The sequence below is a fragment of the Homo sapiens genome, chromosome 20 (genome assembly GCF_000001405.40).
Source record: "Homo sapiens chromosome 20, GRCh38.p14 Primary Assembly".
Lineage (NCBI taxonomy): Eukaryota > Metazoa > Chordata > Mammalia > Primates > Hominidae > Homo > Homo sapiens.
The window spans coordinates 10,230,808-10,253,391 of record NC_000020.11 but is presented as its reverse complement, the minus strand read 5'-3'; the positions used below and the strand labels follow the sequence as shown (position 1 = coordinate 10,253,391).

At 43.1% G+C, this 22,584-nt stretch overlaps 1 protein-coding gene across 15 annotated transcripts in view, besides 2 other annotated features; it reads right to left on the bottom strand.

Moving 5' to 3' along the window:
* The window catches only part of SNAP25 (synaptosome associated protein 25), an 88,589-nt gene that overhangs the window by 54,027 nt on the left and 11,978 nt on the right, over window positions 1-22,584 (bottom strand). For 2 of the 15 annotated variants that reach the window (XM_017028022.2, NM_001322906.2), the window contains exon 2: window positions 15,366-15,419. The exons of 9 other annotated variants lie outside the window; for them this stretch is intronic. The gene's annotated coding sequence lies outside the window, so the exon portion shown is untranslated. Of the gene's footprint in view, window positions 1-8,498; window positions 8,617-9,357; window positions 9,418-15,365; window positions 15,420-19,054; window positions 19,182-22,584 lie in introns of all 15 variants that reach the window. 4 more of the 15 variants (NM_001424415.1, NM_001322905.2, NM_001322908.2 and 1 more) reach the window with 3 other exon arrangements.
* Window positions 11,886-12,386: an enhancer, noted in NCBI's record as "OCT4-NANOG-H3K4me1 hESC enhancer chr20:10221654-10222154 (GRCh37/hg19 assembly coordinates)". NCBI's record gives its function as "activates a minimal SCP1, AML or CMV promoter by ChIP-STARR-seq in naive H9 embryonic stem cells {active_cell/tissue: H9 hESC(naive)}" and the evidence as "EXISTENCE:reporter gene assay evidence [ECO:0000049][PMID:30033119]".
* Window positions 12,387-12,888: an enhancer, noted in NCBI's record as "OCT4-NANOG-H3K4me1 hESC enhancer chr20:10221152-10221653 (GRCh37/hg19 assembly coordinates)". NCBI's record gives its function as "activates a minimal SCP1, AML or CMV promoter by ChIP-STARR-seq in naive H9 embryonic stem cells {active_cell/tissue: H9 hESC(naive)}" and the evidence as "EXISTENCE:reporter gene assay evidence [ECO:0000049][PMID:30033119]".

Below are 22,584 nucleotides of genomic sequence, written 5' to 3'. Positions count from 1 at the left end.
ATCAGGATTCGAATCCAGAGTCCTCATCACTGAGATACAATACCGTGGACAGAGAGCCCTAAGAGCTTATGAGATTCTGGATGTGAAGAAGCCAGGATTCCATCAGGATTCAGTCCAAGGCCTGGTGAATCCTAGTCTAAAAATTAGGACCTGCTTTAGCTCTCATCTACTCCTTGCGGTTTGTAGCTGAGGAATCAGAAAAAAGGTAAAGACAAGTGACCTGGTCAAGAACACAGTTCTGAGTGTCCTTAGGGTCTCATCCCTGGTCTATGATATTTTTTGTCTCATCGTCTCTCATTCACATAGCTCCTGAGCTACATTGCTCCTTGGAAATGATAATTAAGAACAGGTAACCTTTACTAGGTCCTTAAGATGTACCAGGTGCTGTGCTAAGCACCCAAATGCATATTTTTATTTAACCCTAGTAATACACCTATGAAACAGAGATCTATTATTATCTCCCTTTTTTTTTTCAGATGGAGAATCTGAGCCTCAGGGAGGTTTAAATATTTTGCCTAAGGTTACACACTTACTAAGTGGCCAAAACTTAAATCTCTTTGAGTCGAGAACAACTACTTTAATTAAAGTCAAGAAAAATTATCTAAAGCTTGAAAGCTAAAAAAAAAAAAAAAAGATGAGAAAATTCTTTTATATCATATTGGAACATTTTCTAATAGGACTGCCTGGGGATTATGTAATTTTTTAGGGGAATGTAACTTGTTTGGGCTTACTATTTTTTTCTAACAGCTTTATTGAAGTATAAAGAACATACAACGAATGCACACATTTATTTCAAAATCTGTTAAATTTTAACATATGTATATTGCCATGAAACCATCACTACAATAAAAGTAATAAACATGTCAATCACCGTCAAAAGTTTTTGTTATTTACCCTTGATTAGAGACCAGACTGACAAGTTACATGTTACTTTATACAAGATTGAGCACATGACTTTCATCTAGTAAAGAAGCAAATGATATATCTGTGGTAGAAAAGATAATCCCAAGCATTGTAGTTGTATGGCCTGGAGGGCATTAATCAGTTTTGAACCCAATTAAACAAATTTTTTTAACCTCCCTTTCCTGACTGACCATATAAATCTTTGTTCCTCAAATACTCTGTGAACTGACTTGATCTGCCTACTGGTTTTCTCACTAATGAAGTAAGTAAATCTCTGACATATAGTCACTATACATTCATGTGATATTCATGTGCTAACTCTGGAAATTATGCATTGCCTCTACTGAGTTTGCACGTGGGTGTCTCCGTATGTGCAGATGTACAGAATGTTTCCAAGAGCAAACCAGGGCACATAGGGCCTGTTAACTGGAGGGTGGTAGAGTTCCAGATGGTTCTAGAAGGTCGTGGCAGCCATATAAGAAAGCAAGCTTATGAACTTTGCTCATCCTGGTTTGGCATGTGCTGCTGGAGTGACCTGTCAAACACAAATGTACAGAGAATTTGTGCCTCAAGTCTCTCTAGGTTCCTGTTCTTTCCATCTCCCCAGATTTGAGATTTCCTTTTCTGTAGCTGCACAAATATCCAAAATTTCCATAAATTCACTTTCTAGGAGGAACATATGATAGGCAAACAAGCTTTTCTGGGCCTGTAGTTCATTTACCTAGAACCTTGAGGGGATATACGATGAAAACAGAAGATCTCATGAATAACAAAAAGGAAAGACAAAAGCCACCCAGGAAAGGTTAGCCTGCTTTAATCACAAGGGCAAACATGGCTCCATTCAAATAGATTTATGTGTTCCTTTTTGGAGGTAGGACAGGTTTGTTTAACATTTTCCAAGGGATCAGATCTCATGCTTATTAATCATTGCTCCTTCAGGAGCATGCCTGATGAAAATGCTTCCCTACTTACTTTTACTGTAATCCTTCCAATGTCTGCTATTTCTTTTGCCATAATATCATCCCTCAACCCTTTTCCAGCCTTCCATCCAGCCTTCAAAATTCTGAACAAATGGCATCTCCTGGAGTAGGCTGGCAGCTTGGACCAAGGCTGCCTTTGGACTCCTGTGTGGTTCTCAGGTATCCTTCCCAGTATTTCTTGCTTCATGCTACTTTGGCCTCTATGTCATCTCTATCCCCCAGGAAACTGTGATAGGTCCTCAAATTCTCCTTGAAGCACAAATTCTCCTGGAGACAAAAATACTGTGTACATTCGTGTTTGACAGGTCACTCCACCAGCATCCTTTTAGTCTGAGTGCCTACCATGCAGAAAGCAGCAAGTAAATAATTGTGAGGGCAAGGATCATGTCTCACACATCTTTATAACATTTTTTGTTTGACATGGTGCTGGGATCTTAAATTGGAGTATACAGTCATGCGTCACTTAACGATGGGGATACCTTCTAGGAAATGCGTCATTAGGTGATTTCATCGTTGTGTAAACATCATAGTGTGTACTTAGGCAAACCTAGATGGGATAGCCTACTATACACCTAGGCTATATGGTATAGCCTATTGCTCCCAGGCTACAAATCTGTTTAGCATGTTACTGTACTGAATACTATGGGTAACTATAACACAATAGTAAGTATTTGCGTATCTAAAGATATCTCAACTTGGAAAAGGTACAGTAATAATCTGGTATTCTTATCTTATGGGACCACCCATCTATCCATCATTGATCAAAATGCATAGCACATGACTGTGTGTGTTTTTTAATTGTTTCATGAAGCTTTTTGGCACCAATCTTCCTTGGACTATTTAAGGCAATATATATCAAATTAATTTGAGCATGTTAATACTTACAGGAGAGTCCAATGAGTAATTTAAAAAATTCTTTACATACTTTGCCCATTAAGCGTTAGCATCCTAGAGACTGTGGGTTAAGATACTGAGGGTTTTTGAGACTAGAGATAAATACTTTAAGGTTTCTTCCTCAGGGGACTTGGAGACCACTTGTGATCATTTGGGTGTCATTTTTGCAGGGCTTGACTAATGTGCTCAGAAAATTTAGTCCCCCACAATGTGTATCATGAGAGCTCTGGTTCTAAGCAGATGGAAGGTGATTAAAGTCTCCTGAACAGGAAATCATGAAGCCATACCATACCTCTTCCATTTACTTACACTCAACAAGCTCTTTCAGAAATGCCCTGGACGACCAGAACCAGTTCTATTTTAACATAGTTTGTGGACTTTGATTGAAAAATAAGTTTAAAAAGTAAGTAGTTTTCTGAAGAAACTGAGTTCCCTAAATAAGAAAATATAATTTTGAAAGGGAATGACGGAAACAGAGATCTTGAAAAGGTCTGACAGTTGCAATCAGTTTTTTTTCTTTAAGAAGGATGTTGCTAAAGGAGTCTAGGAATGTGGTCCAGGACAGGCAGCAGCAGCATATGCAGGAACTTACTAGAAATGCATATTCATGAGCTCCACCCTAGATCCGCTGAATTGGAATCTCTGAGGGTGTGGCCCAGGAATTTATGTTTTAATAAGCTCTCCAGGTGATCCTGATGGTCACTAAAGTTTGAGAAGAGTAGACCTTTAGGTCTAACACTAGACCTAAAGGGTTTTAACTTTCCAGAGGGTTAGCTGTTCTCCTTGGGAAGCAAAATAATTAGCTTTGCAGGGTTCTTGTTAGACTAGGGCTTCTAAAAATCACCTGGAGAACTTATTAAAACACAGATTCCTGGGCTCCAAATCTAGAGATTCTAGTCCAGTCAGCCTGTGGTGGGGTTTAGAATCAGCATTTCTATCAAGTTGCACAGTGATGCTATTGTCTGTGGCCCACACTGAGCAGGAAGGATGGACACCCAGAGAGCTCCAAGCTGGTCCTACATGGCTGCAAAAGCTACACTCCATCTAGGCAGACATCACAGAGGCTCTGCCATCACAGGAGGGTTATTTTTTTTCTTGTAAGGAACCCGCCAAAATAATACCAGTCTCTTTGCTGTTAGAAAATAGCACAGAGGTCTTTGGAACAGGTTCCCGTCAATAGCTTCAAAAGGTAACATCTTTGTGCCATTTTTTTTTTCTGTTCATACTTCACTTGATGAGATTGTCATTCCTTCAGTCAGAAACAGTCACTTCAGTATCAGCATGTGGAAGCTGCTGGGGGCAGGAATCCTACCACCAACCATCACCGATGGGGCTTCCCAGCTAGGGCTCCTTGCCAAGGGATTGAATGAATGAGCAAACAAATGCGTGGCTGCAATCCACATACCTCCCAGTAAAACCTGGCTCTCAGAGAGGCTGCATCTAACTTCTGAACTATCTCCTTAGCACTATAGCCTCACCAGAAGAAAGGCACGAGCTATCAAATGAAGTAAACGTTGGCTGTTATTGTTTTCCATGAGAGTAAACTGGAAAATGGATATAACATAGACTTGACAAGCTGTGTGTCCATGGCCTATTTATCGAATCTTTCTGAACTTCTGTTTTTTCATCTGTGAAGCGGAATTAACAGTACATACCTTGACACTGCTGTGACCAGAGTTATTCGCAGAGTGGTTGATGAACCTGTAATATCAGCCTCACCTGGGAGTCTGTTAGAAATGCAAATTCTTAGGCCCCAGACCAAATGAATCATAATATCTGGAAATGATGCTCAGCAAATTGCTTTAACAAGCCTTTCAGGGGATTCTAGTGCACACTAATGTTTGAGTAACATTGGATGTGGATCAATAGTACAGATTTTAAGGGTCAAAAATGCTCTGAGGAGTGGGGCTGCACTACTTTGAATGCTGGCTCTACTACTTACTTGCTGTGTGATCCCAGGCAAGATGTCTAGCCTCTCTGTGCCCCATTTTCCTCATCTCAAAAATGATCGTTGTTGTGGGGATTAAATGAATTAATACATATAAAGCAGTTAGCAGACATTCTGACATATAGCACATAACAAATGGTATTACTGGATATTTAAATATAGATAGAAACAAGGTCATGTTATGCCGTATGTATAATAAAATAATTATTCATAATTATTGCCTCTGCACATGAGATTATGGTTAATTATATTTTCCTTGTTATATTCCTCTTGGCCTATTTTTCTGCAATTAACACGAATTACTTTTATAATCAGAAAAAAACACTATAAAATAATTTGCATTGAAGGAGGGAAAATGTTAACAGCAAAATTACATGAGGTGTTGGGGTTGGCTATAAACTATTTTATGGGTCTCCCGGGTCTCCCTGCACCCTGTACCCTTATCCTTAAAGCCAAGTATACTTTTTGTTGGCTTCTGTGCACACATGTGTGTTTGATAATTCCCATGCAATTCAGCTGGGGAGAACAACTTTTTAGGTTTCATTATCTCATAAGCATGGGCTCAACATGATTAGATTGGAGTGTTCTCCATCCGTCTTTGTATCCATGCAACCATTAGGTGAACAAACCCAGGCTAGTCTAATGGATCATGAGATACACCCTGTGGAACAGAGAGAAATCATCTTAGCTAAGGCACTCTAAACCAACGAGCCCTCCAGCTGATCCAGCAACAGACTACAAAGGGAGTCCAGCTGAACTCAGCCCAAACTGCTGACTTATGGAATCATGAGCTAAATAAATGAATGTTGTTTGAAGCCTCTAAGTTTTAAGTTGAGGGTCATTTGTTACAAAGCAAAAGCTAACTGACCTACTGAGTATGTCTCAAAAGTTTGCTTTCGTGCCATCATCCTCTCTCCGAGCTCTGCCCTCCATACCCTGCAGTCAAATTTCTTTTCTCTTCTTTCATGTTAGGAGTTTTAGAGACAGTTGGACTATCAGGATGAGTAAGCAGCAGGCAGCAAGTAGAGCAGAAATGCAGCATGCTTGGAAGGCGCATCAGTCATGGAAGGTGCTCTCTTCACATCCTTTACCAAAAGAAAATAGGCCAAGAGGAAAAAAGGAAGCCTGACTTAATCTAAATTTTTCACATGGCATCTCAGGAACAACCAATGATTCTATTCTTAGCCTTTTCCTCTATCAAAGCTGAAATGTATTTCCAGTTTAATGCCTGTGTTGGTCTAAAAGGGAATACTGAAGTTGTGGGCTAGGACAGGAAGAATGTCACTGGTGAAATAAAATCTCGTCATCTCATTTCATTTCAGGAGCCAGAAAAAAGTTTGCTACAGGGCCGGCCCTAAATGTCATCACTGATCAGAACAAGTGGTTGTTGGTGGCACCACTTGACCACTCTGTTGTTGGTCATCAGTATAAGAGCTCAGGGGCAGCCTTCTGGGAAGAACTAGGGTGCTCTCTGCAGCTTCCCAAATCCTTTAAGAAGTAAAAAAGATGTTTGCATTTGCCATCGAGAAATTGCCAGTTCTTTTCTAACTTTTGGGTCACATGGATCTTAACTGGACGCATGAGGCCATCTTCATGCTTAGAAACACCATAGTTGACATCTGTGAATCACTCACATCATGTCAAGCAGTGTCTAACTTCTTTATGTGTGTCAGTGCTCATAACAATGTTATGATCATCACCCCTTTTCTACACATGAAGAATGGAGAAACAGGAAAGTTAAATAACTTTCCCCTAGGTCTCAGGCTGTTAACCTTTATGCTAAATTGCAACTACATGCAGGACAGTGCCTGGACACAATAAATGCTCAACAAATATTGTGCCCAACGATGTGAGCCCTAACAGGAATATTGTACCCAGCGGCTGGTGAACACATCTTTAGAATGAATATTAGTGATATTTATTCTCCTCTTCTGTCCTTCTCTCTCCACTTGAAGGGCACATCTATTCTTTCTGGATTTCAAGGGGGCTGTGAAATTAAAAGGTGGCAATTTGGTGGGAAGTTTAGGAGACTTGTCTGCAAAGTGAGTTTTTTAGCAAGCATGTAGTTTTCACTGAGGCTGTGTGTGCATTGTGGCTGAGGGCTGGGGTACTGATGAGCCCCTGGGGATGGTGGGTAGCCATAGGACTCATTCCCCTGCCACTGTCAGGGTGGTTTGCCTCTTTTCTTTCTTCTCCATAAGACGTTTTAGATAAACGTCAAAATTTCCTGGGCTCGGCCAATCATTCTGTCTTCATTGATAAGGAGAACCTTGTAAGTGCAATTCCCCTCCCTCTCAATAAATAGGCCAACCCCCTTTTATCTCTCTCTCCACCTTCTCCCCTCACCTCACATACATGCACAGATGTGTGCAGGATGCGCTCGCACACGAATGCACGCACGTGCACACACACACGCATACACCCACACCATCTTCTCTTTTACTCTAAACCAGGAAAATTCAGTGTGAGACCCTGTCTTTGAAACATAATGGCTCAGAAATAGCTCAGACTCAGCTTAGAATCAATATGCTCTCCGTGAAGCCACTGGAATTCCAAGTTTTCCCAGCAGACTTTAGACAGAAGTGGAGTCAACATATTCAGGCATAAAATGAATTCCATTAAATAATGTCAATGCTTGAGGACACTCACTAGTTACCTGGGCTGAAGGGCACACAGCTTTGAAGTCTCAGACTTCGGTAAAGGTATGTTTAAAATTTCAGTCATGAAGTGAATTAAGATGCTTTTCCTCCCTGCCAATTTTGGAGGTAGAAAGATAATTTTATATGGTGACAAGATGGGACAAAGGAAAGGACAAAGCTTATGATTTACATGTGTTCTTGGGATTTCAAATACAGATGCAGTGACAAATAAGCAAGTTATGGCACCTTATCATAAGTCTAATTGTAGATTCATTTAAGACACATGTTGAGCACTTATTGTGTGGGAATTGTCAGTATGTGTGTGTGTGTGTGTGTATAAGATGAAGATAGCATTTCTGTCGCCCAGAAGTTTGTAGTTGAATTCTGATGCAAGACTTTGGATCTGGGCACACGCCCGGGGTGAAACTGTAAATGCGATACTTTGAAACCCACACTGCCCCAGAAACAAAACTTTTTTTAGACCCCCCAGTTTGAAATGAACATTCACTTACCCCAAATATAATTTGATGGCTAATCTAAGTTCTCCCAATCAGAAACTTCCTTTGCCTTACGAAACTCCTGACCTAAAAGCGAAGGAGGGTGGATTGATGTTGACTGTGGAAGACACAGCATGAGGATGTGCTTTGAGTGGTCCAGGTTCTTTTATACCGGCGATCAGTTCCAGTTATTGAAAGAGACACCCTGCCAGCTCCAACCTCCCTAAAACCAAAGACCGTCTGAATTCCCAAGGGCACATTCAGAAATTGAGAGAGCAGGATATAGACAGTGAGAGAGAGAATGAGATATTTCTCTGAAAGAAAATTTAATATTAGTTGGCTTTGGGGGAGAATGCTTAATACCAGCTGGCTTTTGTAGAGGATGCCACACTAGACTGGGAGGTTCCTTAGCAATCTTTCCAAACACCTCAGCTCTCTTTTCCTAACCCTGGCCCCTCTCTCCTGTCTGGCATATGCTTGCTTAAGATTTAATAGATGATGGCCAGCCACAGTGGCTCATGCCTGTAATCTCAGCACTTTGGGAGGCCGAGGTGGGTGGATCACCTGAGGTCAGGAGTTCGAGACAAGCCTGACCAAGACGGTGAAACCCCGTCTCTACTAAAAATACAAAAATTACCTGGGCTTGGTGGCGCGTGCCTGTAATCCCAGCTACTCATGAGGCTGAGGCAGGAGAATCGCTTGAACCTGGGAGGTGGAGGTTGCAGGGAACCAAGACCATGCCATTGTACTCCAGCCTGGGTGACAGAGCAAGACTCCATCTCAAAAAAAAAAAAAAAGAGAGAAAGAAAGAAAGAAACAAAAAAGATTTAGCAGATGTTATGTCTCACTGGGTTCCTGCTCCTGATGAGACCCAGTCACCTTTCACACAGTCTCACACAGTTTATACTTCTTGTTTATCCCACATAGCATCATGTAGTGGTTACAAGTGTAGACTCTGAAGTCGAACTGCCTACATTCAAATCTTGGCTCTGCCACTCACTGGCTGTGTGCCTTTAGGTAAGCTGCCTCACCTCACTGTGCCTCAGTTTCCTAATGGGTAAAACAGTGATAATAGTTCCTACCTTGAATTCTTTTTATGAAGATGGAATGGGTTAATATTTATAAAAATGATTTGAACAGTGCTGGGCATATAGTAAGTGCTAAGTGTTTCTTTATAATAAATAAACCTGGTGGATTTAGTTTTATAATATGTCTCTCTTTCCCAAATGTAAGTTCTAACTTACTGGTTTATGTCACTGAGGTGCATTATTGTGGCCCTAGAGATCAGATACACAAGGTCAGAGTAATGAAGGCAATTATTACCACGACTATTAACATGATTGATAGTGAACATTTGTTGAATGTTTGCACCATAGTCAAAACCTTATAGGCATTATCTAACTTAGTCATGGCAATAACTCCTAGAAACAGATATTTGACCAATACCCATTTCTCAGAGGAGGAAATTGAGGCTGAGACAAAACTAAATAACTTACCCAAGGTAACAGTCAGGAAGTGCTGTCTCAATCCCAGGGAACTGAGGGGTCTGCAAAGTCCTAGATCATTTGAGAAAGTTTGCAAACAGTGATTGGGAACTAAGGCAAAGAGATGAAGATAGTTTGGTGGCCATAAAAATGTGTCTCATAGATTTCTGACTGATTTCCACCCACCTCTACACACGCCATACTTTGACAGTGAGCTAGACTCAGTCAAAGATTAGAATAGGGAAAGGGAAAAATACTAACTTTACATTGGAGAGACCTGGCAAATATGACCTTCACCAAATAACGGAGCGTAATATTACCAGTAATGTCATATGGATCTACTGTATCCCCTGACATGAAATGATGAGTAGGCCACTTTACCTTAGCTTCACTCTTTCCAAAAACCCATAACCCGAGTCTAACAACCCTAGTCTTGTTCCATTACAAGAACAATAGACAAACCCAGATTGGATGACATTCCACAGGATCCCTGTCAATGCTCCTGAAGACTCTCAAGGCCATGAACAACAAAGAAAGACTGAGGAACTGTCACAAACTAAAGAAAACAGGGGAGACATGACAATTAAATGCAATGTGGTGCCCCAGATTGGTCCTGGAACAAAAAAGAAACACTAATTGAAAAGCTGATGGAATCCAAGTGAAGTCTGGAGGTCGATTAATAGTAATGTACTCATGTTGGTTTCTTGGTTGTAATTGATGTATCATGATAATGTTAGGTTTCAACAATGGGGGAAATTGGGTGAGAGGTATACCACCCTTGCAACTTTTCTGTAACTCTAAAAATATTTCAAAATAAAAAGTTTATTTAAAAAGTATTCCCAGAGATTGTAATTCAGTTGGTTCAGGATACGACCTGGGCTTCTGGATTTTTAGAAGATCCCAGGGCATTCTGATGTGCAGGCAAGGTCTGGAAACCACTGATCTACATTCTAAAGAGCTACACAGCTGAACGGTAAAGCCAGTGCCCCTAAGCAAAGCTGTGGCCATCACAGAAGCAGCTGTTAGGCGGCCCTACTTCTTAGCTACTGGTTTCTTCTCTGCAATCACAGAGCAGGGGACAGGAAGAGCCACTCCTTGCTAATAGGCCATGTTTATTCTGCATTTATTCTCAGAAACAGGATCAGATACCTTTGGTAGAAGATTCTAATGTACTGATTAAGTGCACCTAATCCTAATCTCCTTTTATGCTGGCTAAATGGATATTTAGATATAACCTTCCAGAATGCAATGAACTTATTCCTGGGAAGCTGGATGAATGGAATGCCCATAAATTGATCCCTATTTTAAGTGCATACTGGGAGCTGACTATTTGGAGAGCATCTGTAGGCAATGAGAGGTTCCTCCTGTAACAGGCCTCCTGTTAGCTCATTTGCTTTTAGAAATGTGGGTCCTGTGCTTTCTTGCAGCAGGACACTTTCTTAGTCTAGGCATCCTCCCTCTCCTCTCTCAGTAAAGTCGTGGCCACTATAACAGATGCTGGAGGTGCTCTGCCCAGATTCCTGTTACTTTCCACTAGCAAGTGCACCTGTTCCCCAGATGCCAGGCTTCACATGGCTTAGAGTTTATAACTGTGACTTCTCCTGAGCCTTGCCCTTGAGACACAGGAACCCCCTCCCCTACTGGGAGTTTCTAACACCTCCACTCTGTGCTGGAATGACTGACCAGTTCAGGGCTACCAAAGCCTGGCACTCCGAGTGTCAAGGCAGCAGTAACTGTGATGCAATCCACACTCCAGGGCTCCTCTGGGATCAGCTGATGCTAGTCTCCAGCTGCAACCACATCCTTGCTTGCTTCTTTCTCCCGCCCCATTCTTTCCCCCTCACTTTCTTACATAGGTTTCACTTGAGAATCCTTCCTCACTTGCGTATACATTCTGCTGCATTTAGGAACAGACTTAGAATCAGCTTCTCTTCTGCTCCAGGCGGAGACTGTGGAGACAGCAGTTAGGGTTCTCCAGCAGCTCCCATGGTGCGCACCCGCTGGCCATTACTGTCCAGTAGGGATCCCCTAGTAAGGAATGCTGCCTCCCTGGGTTAGGTTGCTTCACCCATAGTCATACTCTGGAGCTGCAGCCACCTCCTTGCTACACTCCAATCCAGAGTATCTTGTAGAAAGATAAATCAGATGGTATCAATCTCCGTGTTACAATTCCAAGGGCTCCCCAGGGCTCTTTGAACAAAAGCCAGTCTCCTCTGCAGGCTGGCAGGCCCTGGCTAACCTGGCTCCCTCCTAACACTTCACTTTCCTCTGCGCTTCTCTCCAACAGCATCAGCCTATTGCTGTGTCTTGAAAGCACCCACCTTGCCCCTGCCTCAGGCTTGGCATGAACTGTCTGCAACACCTGATCACACCATCTCATGATTGGCCGTTCTTGTCATCAGGCCTCAGCATAAACATCTCCTCCTTGGAGAGACCTTCCCTGACCCGTCTCTCTCGACCACCTCACCCTATTTCAATCTCTTACTTAGCCACCATCCCCATCTGATATTTTTCTTGTCCATCTGTCTGACTGATGTCTGCCCCTTCCCATTAAAATTTAATCACCCCGAGAGGAAATATTGCCTGGCATGTTCACCCCTGTTTACTCAGTGCCCAGAGCAGCACTAGGCATGTAATAGATGCTCAGTAAATACATGGGGAGTGGCAGAAAGAGGGAGGAGGGGATATTGATGGACCCGGGGGCTGCAACTGTGCATGATGAAGATGATGAGGGTGATGAGCAGCTGGGGTACGGAGCCACCCCATGCACTCTGAGGCTCAGGAGACACTGCTAGGTTGCCTGTGAATCACAGAACACAGATGCTGCCCTCACTTCCCCCACTGCACCCACCCTGCCCTCCCATACTGATTCCTGCCTTCCCAGCCAAGGCCTCTGCAGTTCTCTTCGGCGCAAGAACAGCTTCATCAGGAAAGCCCATGTCGGCCCTGCAGTTCACACTGGGCCTCTCTTGAGCAGGGCACGCAGCCCTAGACTCTTGCCCAGCTCCATGGAAGCGCAGCAAGGCAGCAGGGCATTTCCATTACCCTGGCAGCTGCTTCACAGAGGCTTTTCTCCAGCTCATGTCAGGGACCCCCAAAGCCTGCTGTGATTGCTGGCTCCACGGAGCAATTGAAGCCATTCGCATCACTCCCCAGGTCGCTAATGGCAAACACTGAAAGACTGAATGCTCCAGAGCCCCCTGCCTGCTCTTCCAGGGCTCTGCGAGCCTAGCCTCCTCTGGAGGGATGATTGTAGATTGAGGCAATCATGATCAGAACAATGCATGTAGGCCCCAACTCAGGCAGGTGGATGGGTCTGCAAACATCACAATTACCCAGTTCAGAACGAGGCCTGGCGGCTAAGAAATGTTCGTTTGGAAGGCCTCTGGCTGTGTGATGTGGACCAAGGCTCTCTGTAGGGCAGGAACACTTGCAGCCTTGGAGGGAGGCATGGAGAATGGCAGAAGGAAGCAGGATCACGCTTTCCTGGCATGCAGGGTGCCATGCTGAGATGACCCCCAGCATTTCTGTGCCCTGGTGCCCAAGTTCTTTATCATCTCCTTCTCTTGAGCATGGGGGGCACCTGTGAGCATGACAGGATGCCATTCTGTGATTAGCTATGATATTAGGGAAACGTAAATGGATCCTGCGTGTATAATTAAGGCTCCCAATCACTTGATTTTGAGATAAGTAAAAAAGGAGATTGCCTGGGTTGGGCCTGATTTAATCAGATGAAGGCCCTTAAAAGAAGGACCGGCCCTTCCTGAAGAGAGAGATTCTTCTGCTGGGCTTGAAGTCAGCTGTCATGTTGTGAGTTGCCCCAAGAGGGTCACGTGGTAAGGGACTGAGCATGATTCCTGGATGACAGCCAGCCAGGAAACAGGGCCCTCAGGGTGATGCAAGGAAGTGAACTCTACAAACAACCTGAATGAGCTTGGAAGTGGAGAAAGCTGCAGATGAAAATGTGCCCTAGCTGACCCCTGCACAGCAGCCTTGGGAGACCCTAAGGAGAGAGCCCTGCCATGCTGGGCCCAGACTCGTGATTCCCAAAAACTGCGAGATAAGAAATGTGTGTTGCTTTAAGTCACTGGGGTTGCAGTAATATTGTTACAGAGCAATAGCTAATGAATACACCCGGGTTCCAGAAAGGCCCCTGTAGGTTCTTGCTGCTGCCTCCCCAAAGTCAGGGGGCTTCTACCCTGTCTTGTCCTCCTCTGCTCCTCTACTTAGGGAGGGCTCATGGGACATTGTGGAGTAGCACAGAAGCGTTGCCCCAAGGTCATGCAGGTTCCAGGGATGGCCACCCCACTGACTAGCATGGTCATATTCCATATTCTGGGCATATTCCTTGTAACTTCTTAGAACCTCAGTTTCCCCATTTGTAAGTGGAAATGTTGAGATTACCTACTGCATTTGGCAGAGTGAATAGCAAATGACTTCATATGCATAGAGCGCTCAGTTAGTGCATGGGAGCATGTGAAATTTGTAATGACTTTTTGAAATAATTCTCCCCTGCTTGTACACCTGCCTGCAGCCACCAAATGAAGTCTACTTTGTAGTTTAAAAAGATCTACAGGCTTGGGCCAAGAAAGAATTCAATTGTGTTCCAAAGCCAAAATTCTTAGATGAATGCCCACTCTGTCCAAATATAGTATCTCCTTCGTTCTCTCTGTTCCTCCTACTTTATTTGTCTTCAGAGCACTTACATTACCTGAAATATCACCTATGTGAATTTCATATATGTGTGCATGAAATTCGACTATTGTCTACAGCCACAGAGGTGGCACGGCACACTCAGTGGTTCAAAAGAACCTGGAGTTGGAATCTAAGATGGGATTTAAAATGAGGTTTGAATGACTCGAGGCCCCCTACTCTTCCTTCTCTATAAAACACTTTAGATTTTGTCATTTAAATGCTCCATTTGGAACCAGTGTATAAAATTAATGCTCCCTAATCTATACCAGGGCATTTTCCATCAACAACCTCTGTCACATTATGTTGTGGTCTAACTTTATTTTTTGTTTTTGGCCTGTGTTGGATGGAGAGAATCTGCTACTCACTGATAGTGGCTTCTGAGTCCCCACCAGAGATGGTGCCAGCATTGATGCTTTATTGATATTATTATTATTATTATTATTATTTGAAACGGAGTCTTGCTCTGTCGCCCAGGCTGGAGTGCAGTGCTATGATCTCGGCTCACCGCAACCTCTGCCTCCCAGGTTCAAGTGATTCTCCTGCCTCAGCCTCCTGAGTAGCTGAGATTACAGATGCCTGCCACCATGCCTAATTTTTTATTTTTAGTAGAGACGGAGTTTCACTATGCTGGCCAGGCTGGTCTTGAACTCCTGACCTCATGTGATCCACCTGCCTCGGCCTCTCAAAGTGCTGGGATTACAGGCATGAGCCACCACGCCCAACCTATTGATATTCTTTTTGAAATAATAGTATGATCCTCATGAAGTTGGATATGTTGACTCTAAAATAGAGTTGCACAGCATCCTTCTGCACCCATCCATTCCCCTTATATTTTTTGCCACCTGGAAGCTACAGTTTTGTTTATTACTGTGGAGCCCCCCTGAGACTGCAGGAGCTGCCACCTCCCTCCCACTCCCTCGCTGCCAGGCTAGAATTAATTATTCCCTCTCTTAGTCCTTGCTGCATGCTATCTTAGTTTTAAAATATTAACCACAGTAAATCAGGGCTTACACTGTGGCCTGATGCTTATGTACAAATCAAGCAGTTCAATTTGCTTGGGACCCACCAGTAAGATCAGTCCTAAACCTGCAAGATGCTACAAAGAAATGGTTCCATGATTCCTTCCCCACTAGAATGCCAGAATCAGTAGAATCCACCAAAGCACCTGCCATGTGTGGGTGGAACGAGACCAGATCATGGGTGGGTGGGTATGAGTTGGAGAGTGTTTAAGGACTTGGAGATTCAAAGATGTCTTGAGTATGCAGACAGTGATCCCAGCCCCTAGGGTAAGGAGGTCTGGAGGATAAGAGGGATAGCCCACTTACCCAAGAAAGGATCTAGAACACTGAAGGGACATCAGTTAATTCCATGGAGCCAACCTGAAAACAAGAGATAAAGGAACAGGAAAGACCAGAAAGGAAGAGAAGGATTCAGGAGAAATGGTGGTATGGGGGCTGGACATGGCTGGGCCTTTTCTCAGCAGGAGAAAATACTCCTCACCTAATTGGGGTGAAGCTTGCTGTGGATAGAGCTTGGGCTTTAAAGTGGCTCTGGATGGGAATCTCAGCTTTGTTATTTTTAAGCTGAGGGACTTAAGATAATTTACTTAACCTCATTGTACCTCGGTTTTCTCAGCTATAAAATGAAGCTAATAATACCCTGCATGTTGTCCTGAGAACTGGATGTGATGATGTATGAAAAAACTTTATCTCAGTACCTGGCACACAGATATTGAATGAATGGTACCCACTAGGGACCCAGTGAATAAATGAAGGTCCGAGCTATCAATGTGCCAAAGCTGGAGACAGCCATTGTGATACTTGGGGTGTCTGGTGATAACAGTTGGCAAAATTCTAGCAGCCAGTTGGTGCCCACCATATACCCTTGGCACTCGCCTTTTCTGTGTATTCTGAAGGCCTCTTCTGCTAGTGCCTCTACTGTGAGTGAGGCAAGACTCATTGCCTTAGGATTTTCTCCAATCTGAGGTGTAGAATTTGTCTCCTGCAGGGCTGGGTGCAAGTTTACACTCTGGGAACAGCCCTTAGCCACTGAAGGATGGGAGTTGGTGCATAATACTCCAGCTTCCTTGCCTTTCAGGTTAGGCAATCCAGGCATGTTGTACACTCTCTCTGAGAGAGGTCCCTGGCTGGGCTGAGCCCCAGCAGCTGGCAAACTGCTCATGAGTGCCCCCTGTACTGACTTTCTTTGAATCCCTGTCTAGATTCTCCACTCCCCCATCAGCGCTTCCTAGGATCACCACCCAAATAAAATATGTGCACCCTCGTCCTTCACTAAGGATCTGCTTTTGGGAGGGCTCAACCTAGGACAGCATTCCAACCAAAGAATTTAGAAGCCTTTATTTATTTATTTATTTATTTATTTATTTATTTATGTATTTTCCTTTGGAGGCTCAGTAAACTGAAGCTGGTGCAGGAACTGACACAGACAGTTCTGCCCAGGGCCTCATCTTTAGGGGTCTTCTATTTGATATCTGAAGTGAGTCGAGCAAATGTACAGCCAGGTATCAGAATGCCCTATGGAAGTGCCTGGCTAGGCAGCTGGGTGAGTCAGCCGTGCCCTGCTAATCCCTGGAATCGCTAAGAAGGCTCTGGTGGGACCTGCTGCGAGGCTTCCACGCAGTTGCTTGGCTTGTTTTCCATGACGCGGCAACACAGCTGAAAGGCCTTCAGAGTTTTTTTCCATTGCCTCCTCCCTTGTGTTCCCATTACCAAAGTGCTCATTGGGCAGAGGACTGGCAGAGAATTGTTTTTAACATTATGGGTAGCTCTTGTAATTAGATGAGAAGGTAGAATTTGCTTAAACAGAGGGCACTTCTGGAGAGACAGGGAAAAAACTTAAAATGCAATCGTCTTTACCAAGACAGGCTCAAGTGAAATTACAGATAAAGCAACATTACCATAAAACAATAAGATGCTGATCCCCTCCTGCTCCACCCTGCCAGTTTGAATCCAGAAAAGTTTACTTATCCTCAATGTTCAAAGGAGAAAATTTCCCCTTTGACTTCCCTGCTGAATTGATCAGATACCTGGGTCTATGATTCCTTAGTTACCTTGGAGAGATGCAACTAGATATTCAGGTGCCCTCTTGAACCAAGGATATCCAAAGTTAAACTTGAGGGCTCCAAGGTCTATGGGGACAGGGTACTAATAAGCCAGGTCTAAGTTTCCTGGTTTGTGGAACTTAGTGGAAGATGTGTAGCCACAGGATGGATGGGCAGAGGCCATCTATCTATGGCAGAGGTGGGGCTCTCTCTGACCTATGCTCCCAAGATTGGTGGGAACTATGGTTGATTTTTTGTAAATATAGTTGGCATAATTCCCCTCCCAAAATCCATAATCCCCCTTCCACACTGACTCTGTGCTTGGCCATGTGACTTACTTTGGTTAATGAGATAATAGCAAATGTAGCCTCAACAAAGACTTGGAAGGTACTTGCACATTGGGGCTTGTTCTCTCTTGCTGTTTTGAGAAACTCTGTAACTCCCACCATGTCTGTATGCCAACACTAGGGCTAGCCTGTTGGATGAGAGACATGTGGTCCAGCCCCTGATGCCCTAGCCAAGAGCCAGCAATAACCACTAGACATGGGAGTGAACACACCAAGCAGGCTCCAGCCAATCTACCAATTGACTGAAGAACTAACTCATTAGCCCATAGACACATACACAATAAGAAATGGTTGCTGTTTTAAACCACTGAGTTTTGGGGTGGTTTGTTATACAAGAAAAATAACTGCTTCAGGGCCAGCCAGTTTCACTGGACCTGGATGACATGTGGATCCACTCCTCCCTCTACTTGACTAGTTTTCTTCCATCCCACCACCCACAGGGATTCAGGAGAGCTCGACACTGACGTCTTCATATCATTTTACAGTTGTTGCAGATATCTCAAAATAGCAGATATTCTCATTACCACTTTGAAATTATGGTAGCTATTAGACTTACCACTAAATATTGTTATTTAATGCTTTAATTAAAAAACACATATTATACCACAAATGTGGTTTTTCTAAAAATATTTTAATAGTTGTACTTCAATAAAATTGGTTTCCTATATAGTCCCCATGTATTTATTTTTATTTTTTAATTTTTATGTTTTAGAGATGAGGTCTTGCTCTGTTGCCCAGGCTGGAGTGCAGTGACATGATCGTAGCTCACCGCAACCTCAAACTCGTGGGCTCAAGCAATTCTCCTACATTAGTCCCCTGAGTGGCTGGGACTGCTGGTGCATGCCACCATGCCCAACTAATTTACTTTATTTCTGCAGAGACAGGGTCTCACTATGTTGCCCAGGCTGGAATGCAGTGGCATGGTCCAGTTCAAGGCCGCTGAACCCTTGAATTCTTGGGCTCAAGTGATCCTTCTGCCTTGGCCTCTCAAATAGCTGGGATACAGGTGCACATCACCATGCCCAGCTAATCCCTATTTATTTTATTTTATTTTATGTTATTTTATTTTACACATTAAAAAGTATCACTCTGAAAGTGGCTTCAGTATATCTTCACCATACTGCCAGTGGGATCCATGGGAAGAACAAAAATCTGAGACTGCTTGAATTCAACTCAGATCAAAAGCCATAGTCTATTTAGTGCAATTTATATGTCTAATCGTGTTTCCCCAAATACTGACATAACTCAAGAAGACATTCATAGGAAAGAGTTGTGGTAAAATAACCCAAGAAACTTCTAGCCATTTCTGATTCTGGCAGATCATAAAACCATGACAAATTGCACAACTTTTGTAAGCAATGGAAGCAATCTCAAATGCCTATAGGGCTGGGAGAATAATGAAAATTATGCCTTGGGCATAAGTAATGGTAGGCTTTGCGGCAAATTGGAGAGGAAGTACCCTGCCTTAAGGCATTTCAGATTAACGATTTTGTAAATCCAGTACTAGCCAAATAAAATAAATTTGTGGGTAGTATTAAGCCTATAGAGCACTAGTGTTCCATTTATGGATTAAGAACAAGATTGGGGAACTGGACATCTGGCTAACCTTCATCCCTGAACTGGCTCTGTCATCAAATAAGTAGGTGATCTTTTCCAGGGCAGTCAAATTTCTATGTCCCAGTTTTCATATCTGCAAAATGGCTGTGGTTTCTGTATCATCTTCCTTTCCAGAACTGTGATGAAGTTCAAAAAAAAAAATTAAATAATAGTGGGGAAACAATTTGAGAAAAAAGAAACAAGGATCATTAAACAGACGCAGAATAAATCAACGCAATTGCTTGGTAAGTGACCTGAAAAAACTTAAGTCTATCTATGTAGGACATGGTTCTTTTAAGTTACCAGCCTGTCATATCCAAAAGGAGAACTTCAGAAATGATTAAGGGAACTTCGCCTGCTTCACTGAGAAGCCAACTGTGATCCATTGGGCCAAAATTGTTAATAGAGTTGGGAGGAAAAAGCACATAAAAGAGCCACCCATATGAGTCTCAAGCCCTAAGGTGGAGGACTAATTTCCAATTCAATAATACACAAAAAGCTACACGCAGGCAAACAAAGTTGAAAACAAGCTTAAAGAAATAAAAAGGAAGGAAAACCAGACGCCTGAGATACTAGGACAAGAAGGGAATAGAACAAGTCGAGGGAGAACGTGATCTTGAAACTAAATTTGCTGGTCCAGAGGCACAATCTTGCAGCCTAACAGCATATTTGGCCCAGTTCTTCCACCTTGAGAGAGAAGCAGAAGAGGGTCTAGTTCTCGGGTCTGTATGCCTTCCTGCATCCCATTATCCAATTAGATGCCATCCCTTAATGCTTACCTTCTCAATGGACCAGAGACAACTCAGCTTTACACTGGGCCTTTTTTGTGATTGATGGAACGATGGGTTTTGGTTAGTAAATGCAGAGGAAGGAGATTCTCCCTTTCCCTTCCTTCACTGTGTCCAAGAAAATTTGTGACAAGGATAAATGTTACGGTTGGCTGGGTCAAGGAATCACATTCATATCTTTTCCCTCTGGGTTGCATATATTTTCATAAAGCTTACATGGGATGTGGCCTAAGCAGGTCTGGAAGGAATCTTAGGCTTAATGGGAATTCACCACCCAGTTTAATATCCTGTGACAGAATCTTTGGTTTGGCTCTAATCTTTGAGCCCTTTAGCCCACACAGGCCATAGGTGCCCCAGCTCATCCATATATCTGTGCACATAATATGGTCATGATAGGAGGCAAAATGAGCCAGAGGAGGAAAGACGTGAACCAGAGGACCAGTTATCCCTTATTTTCAGCCACTGTGGACTGTTTGGATTTTATGAAGTTCTTTTCTCTCACTGTATCCTTGAGCTGTAAGTGTGCCTGGTCATGAAATTGGGGAGACAAATGAGAAAATGATGGGAAAGCAGATCTATATGATTCAGATCAAGGTTAAGTTTATTTTTATTGTTGAAAAATAAAGGGATCAAGTGCTGGAGTTCTGCTGATGTTATTGCGGGAAAGGGGCATAAAAATCATTGAGCCCACAGATGATTTGGTCTCTGCTTAAATGCTGCCTCTCAGAGATGCATTCTCTCATAGCTCTTTCTAAATCATCATTTTACCTCCTTGGGGTATATCACTCTATGTCTCTATCCTGCATTCTTTAACTCATAGCATTGTCTTTCTCTACTAGAAGGTAAGCTCTATGAGAACAGGACTTCATCTACTTTGTTCTCTGCTTATTACCATTGCTTAGAACTGTGCCTAGTCTATGGTGGAGGCACAATCTATATTTGGCGAATGAATTGTAACGTGGAGGGAATATCCTGCAGAACCAGGCTAGTGTGAGCACAGAAAGGTGAAAGAAACATCCTTCCTCACTTCTGTGAAGTCTCCTTAATGTTCTCAGAGGTGAGTAGTTTATTCTTCCAAAGCAGCAGAGATTTTACCTGTGGTTTGCTATTCAGCCCAACCTTTTGGAGAAAATAAGGAAAGATGGCTTACTGTGTCTGCTTTGCAACTGGTTCTTCCCAACTGAACTGTGTGGTTCCAGCATGGAAATCACATTCCTCCATGCCACTCCACACCCACAATTGATTGAGCACTTGGCCCAAGCTATGCCAATCAGAGATCTTCCTTGGTATTTTTGAATCGAGGATACAGACAACAATTGTCAGTTCCTTTTCCATAGTGGAAGTCCAGAGAGTACAAATCGCATGTGTATGTTTCTGGTATGGGGAGGGAGGAAGTGTTTTTCAACAAGAGAAAGTGGAATCAATGTACAGAAAGAATCAGGGACAGGAGGCTGAGAAAGAGAGAGCTTTGGTAATGTTTGCACACTGGGATTGAGTTGTTCCTGAATTCCAGCTACGTCTCTGCTTTTCCTATGGCTTGACTGCTCAACATTTGCTTAGATTGTTTAAGCCAATAAATCTCAATTGTTGCCAAAACCACTTATAGCTGGGTTTCTATAATATGAAAAATCCAAAGAGATGTAAGCAGTATAGGTTGAGTATCCCTTATCCAAAATACTTGAGACCAGAGGTGTTTTCCATTTCAGATATTTTTAGATTTTGTAATATTTGCATTATGTTTACCAGTTGAGCATCCCAAATCTGAAAATCTGAAATCTGAAATGCTCTAATAGGCATTTCCTTTGAGGGTCATATTGGTGCTCAAAAAGTTTCAGATTGTGAAACATTTTGGGTTTGGGTACAATCTGTACATCCAAATTTTGGAGGAAGCTCTGCCTGATAGCTCAGGGTTATGAGAATGTTCCTACCCTGTTTTGTAGAGTTTGGGACACCACTTGAGGCCAAGACCTCTGAGTGTAACAACAGACTGAGAGAATTCCTGATTGGGGATCTGGAAACTCCAGGAGATTGGACCTGCACCAGAGAGAAAATTTGGAAGAGATGGAGGCAGATGTGGTAAGGCAGTAAAGGGCAGTGGAAGAAGAGCTGAAGCTTGAGTCAGGAGCCTTGGCTGCAGTGCTCACCCTGTGACCTTGGTGTGAAATTTATCTCTGGGCCTGGTCATCTGCAATGTTTTTGAAAATACAATTTAAAAATCTCAGCAAGTGCTCTGAACCCATGATTCTAAGCAAGAGGAGGACAGGAAAAAAAGGGCAATGTAAGACATCAGGATCCTTTTCCCAAGGGCAATTGGTATTTTAATCCAGGGCAGAAACAAGACATTGCAGGGGATGAGTAGAAAAGGCCAGGATGACTCTCTGCCTCTGTGGTAGCTCATTGCTGAGGGATGGGGGCAGGAAGTGTGGGGGGTGACACAGAGGAGGAGTGATAGAAACTCCTTTATCCTTTGCACTGGGGACACTTTTTCCTATTTGGTATCCTTCAGAGGCTATGGGCTGGGACTGCAGAAAGAGGAAAGGAGATGTCCTATTATTTGATGAGATTTTAAGCTTTGGAGACAAGATTCTGGGGGCTGGGATTGGGCCACTGTTGAAGAAAACAAAGCACAATAAAGGAGCCAGTTGGCCCCCATCCCACACACTTGTCCTCACTCTGTGAATGCTCACCTTCCTCATCCTTCAAACTCACTTGGAAGAAAAATAGCATCTTCATTACTAAATCAGAGGGTAAA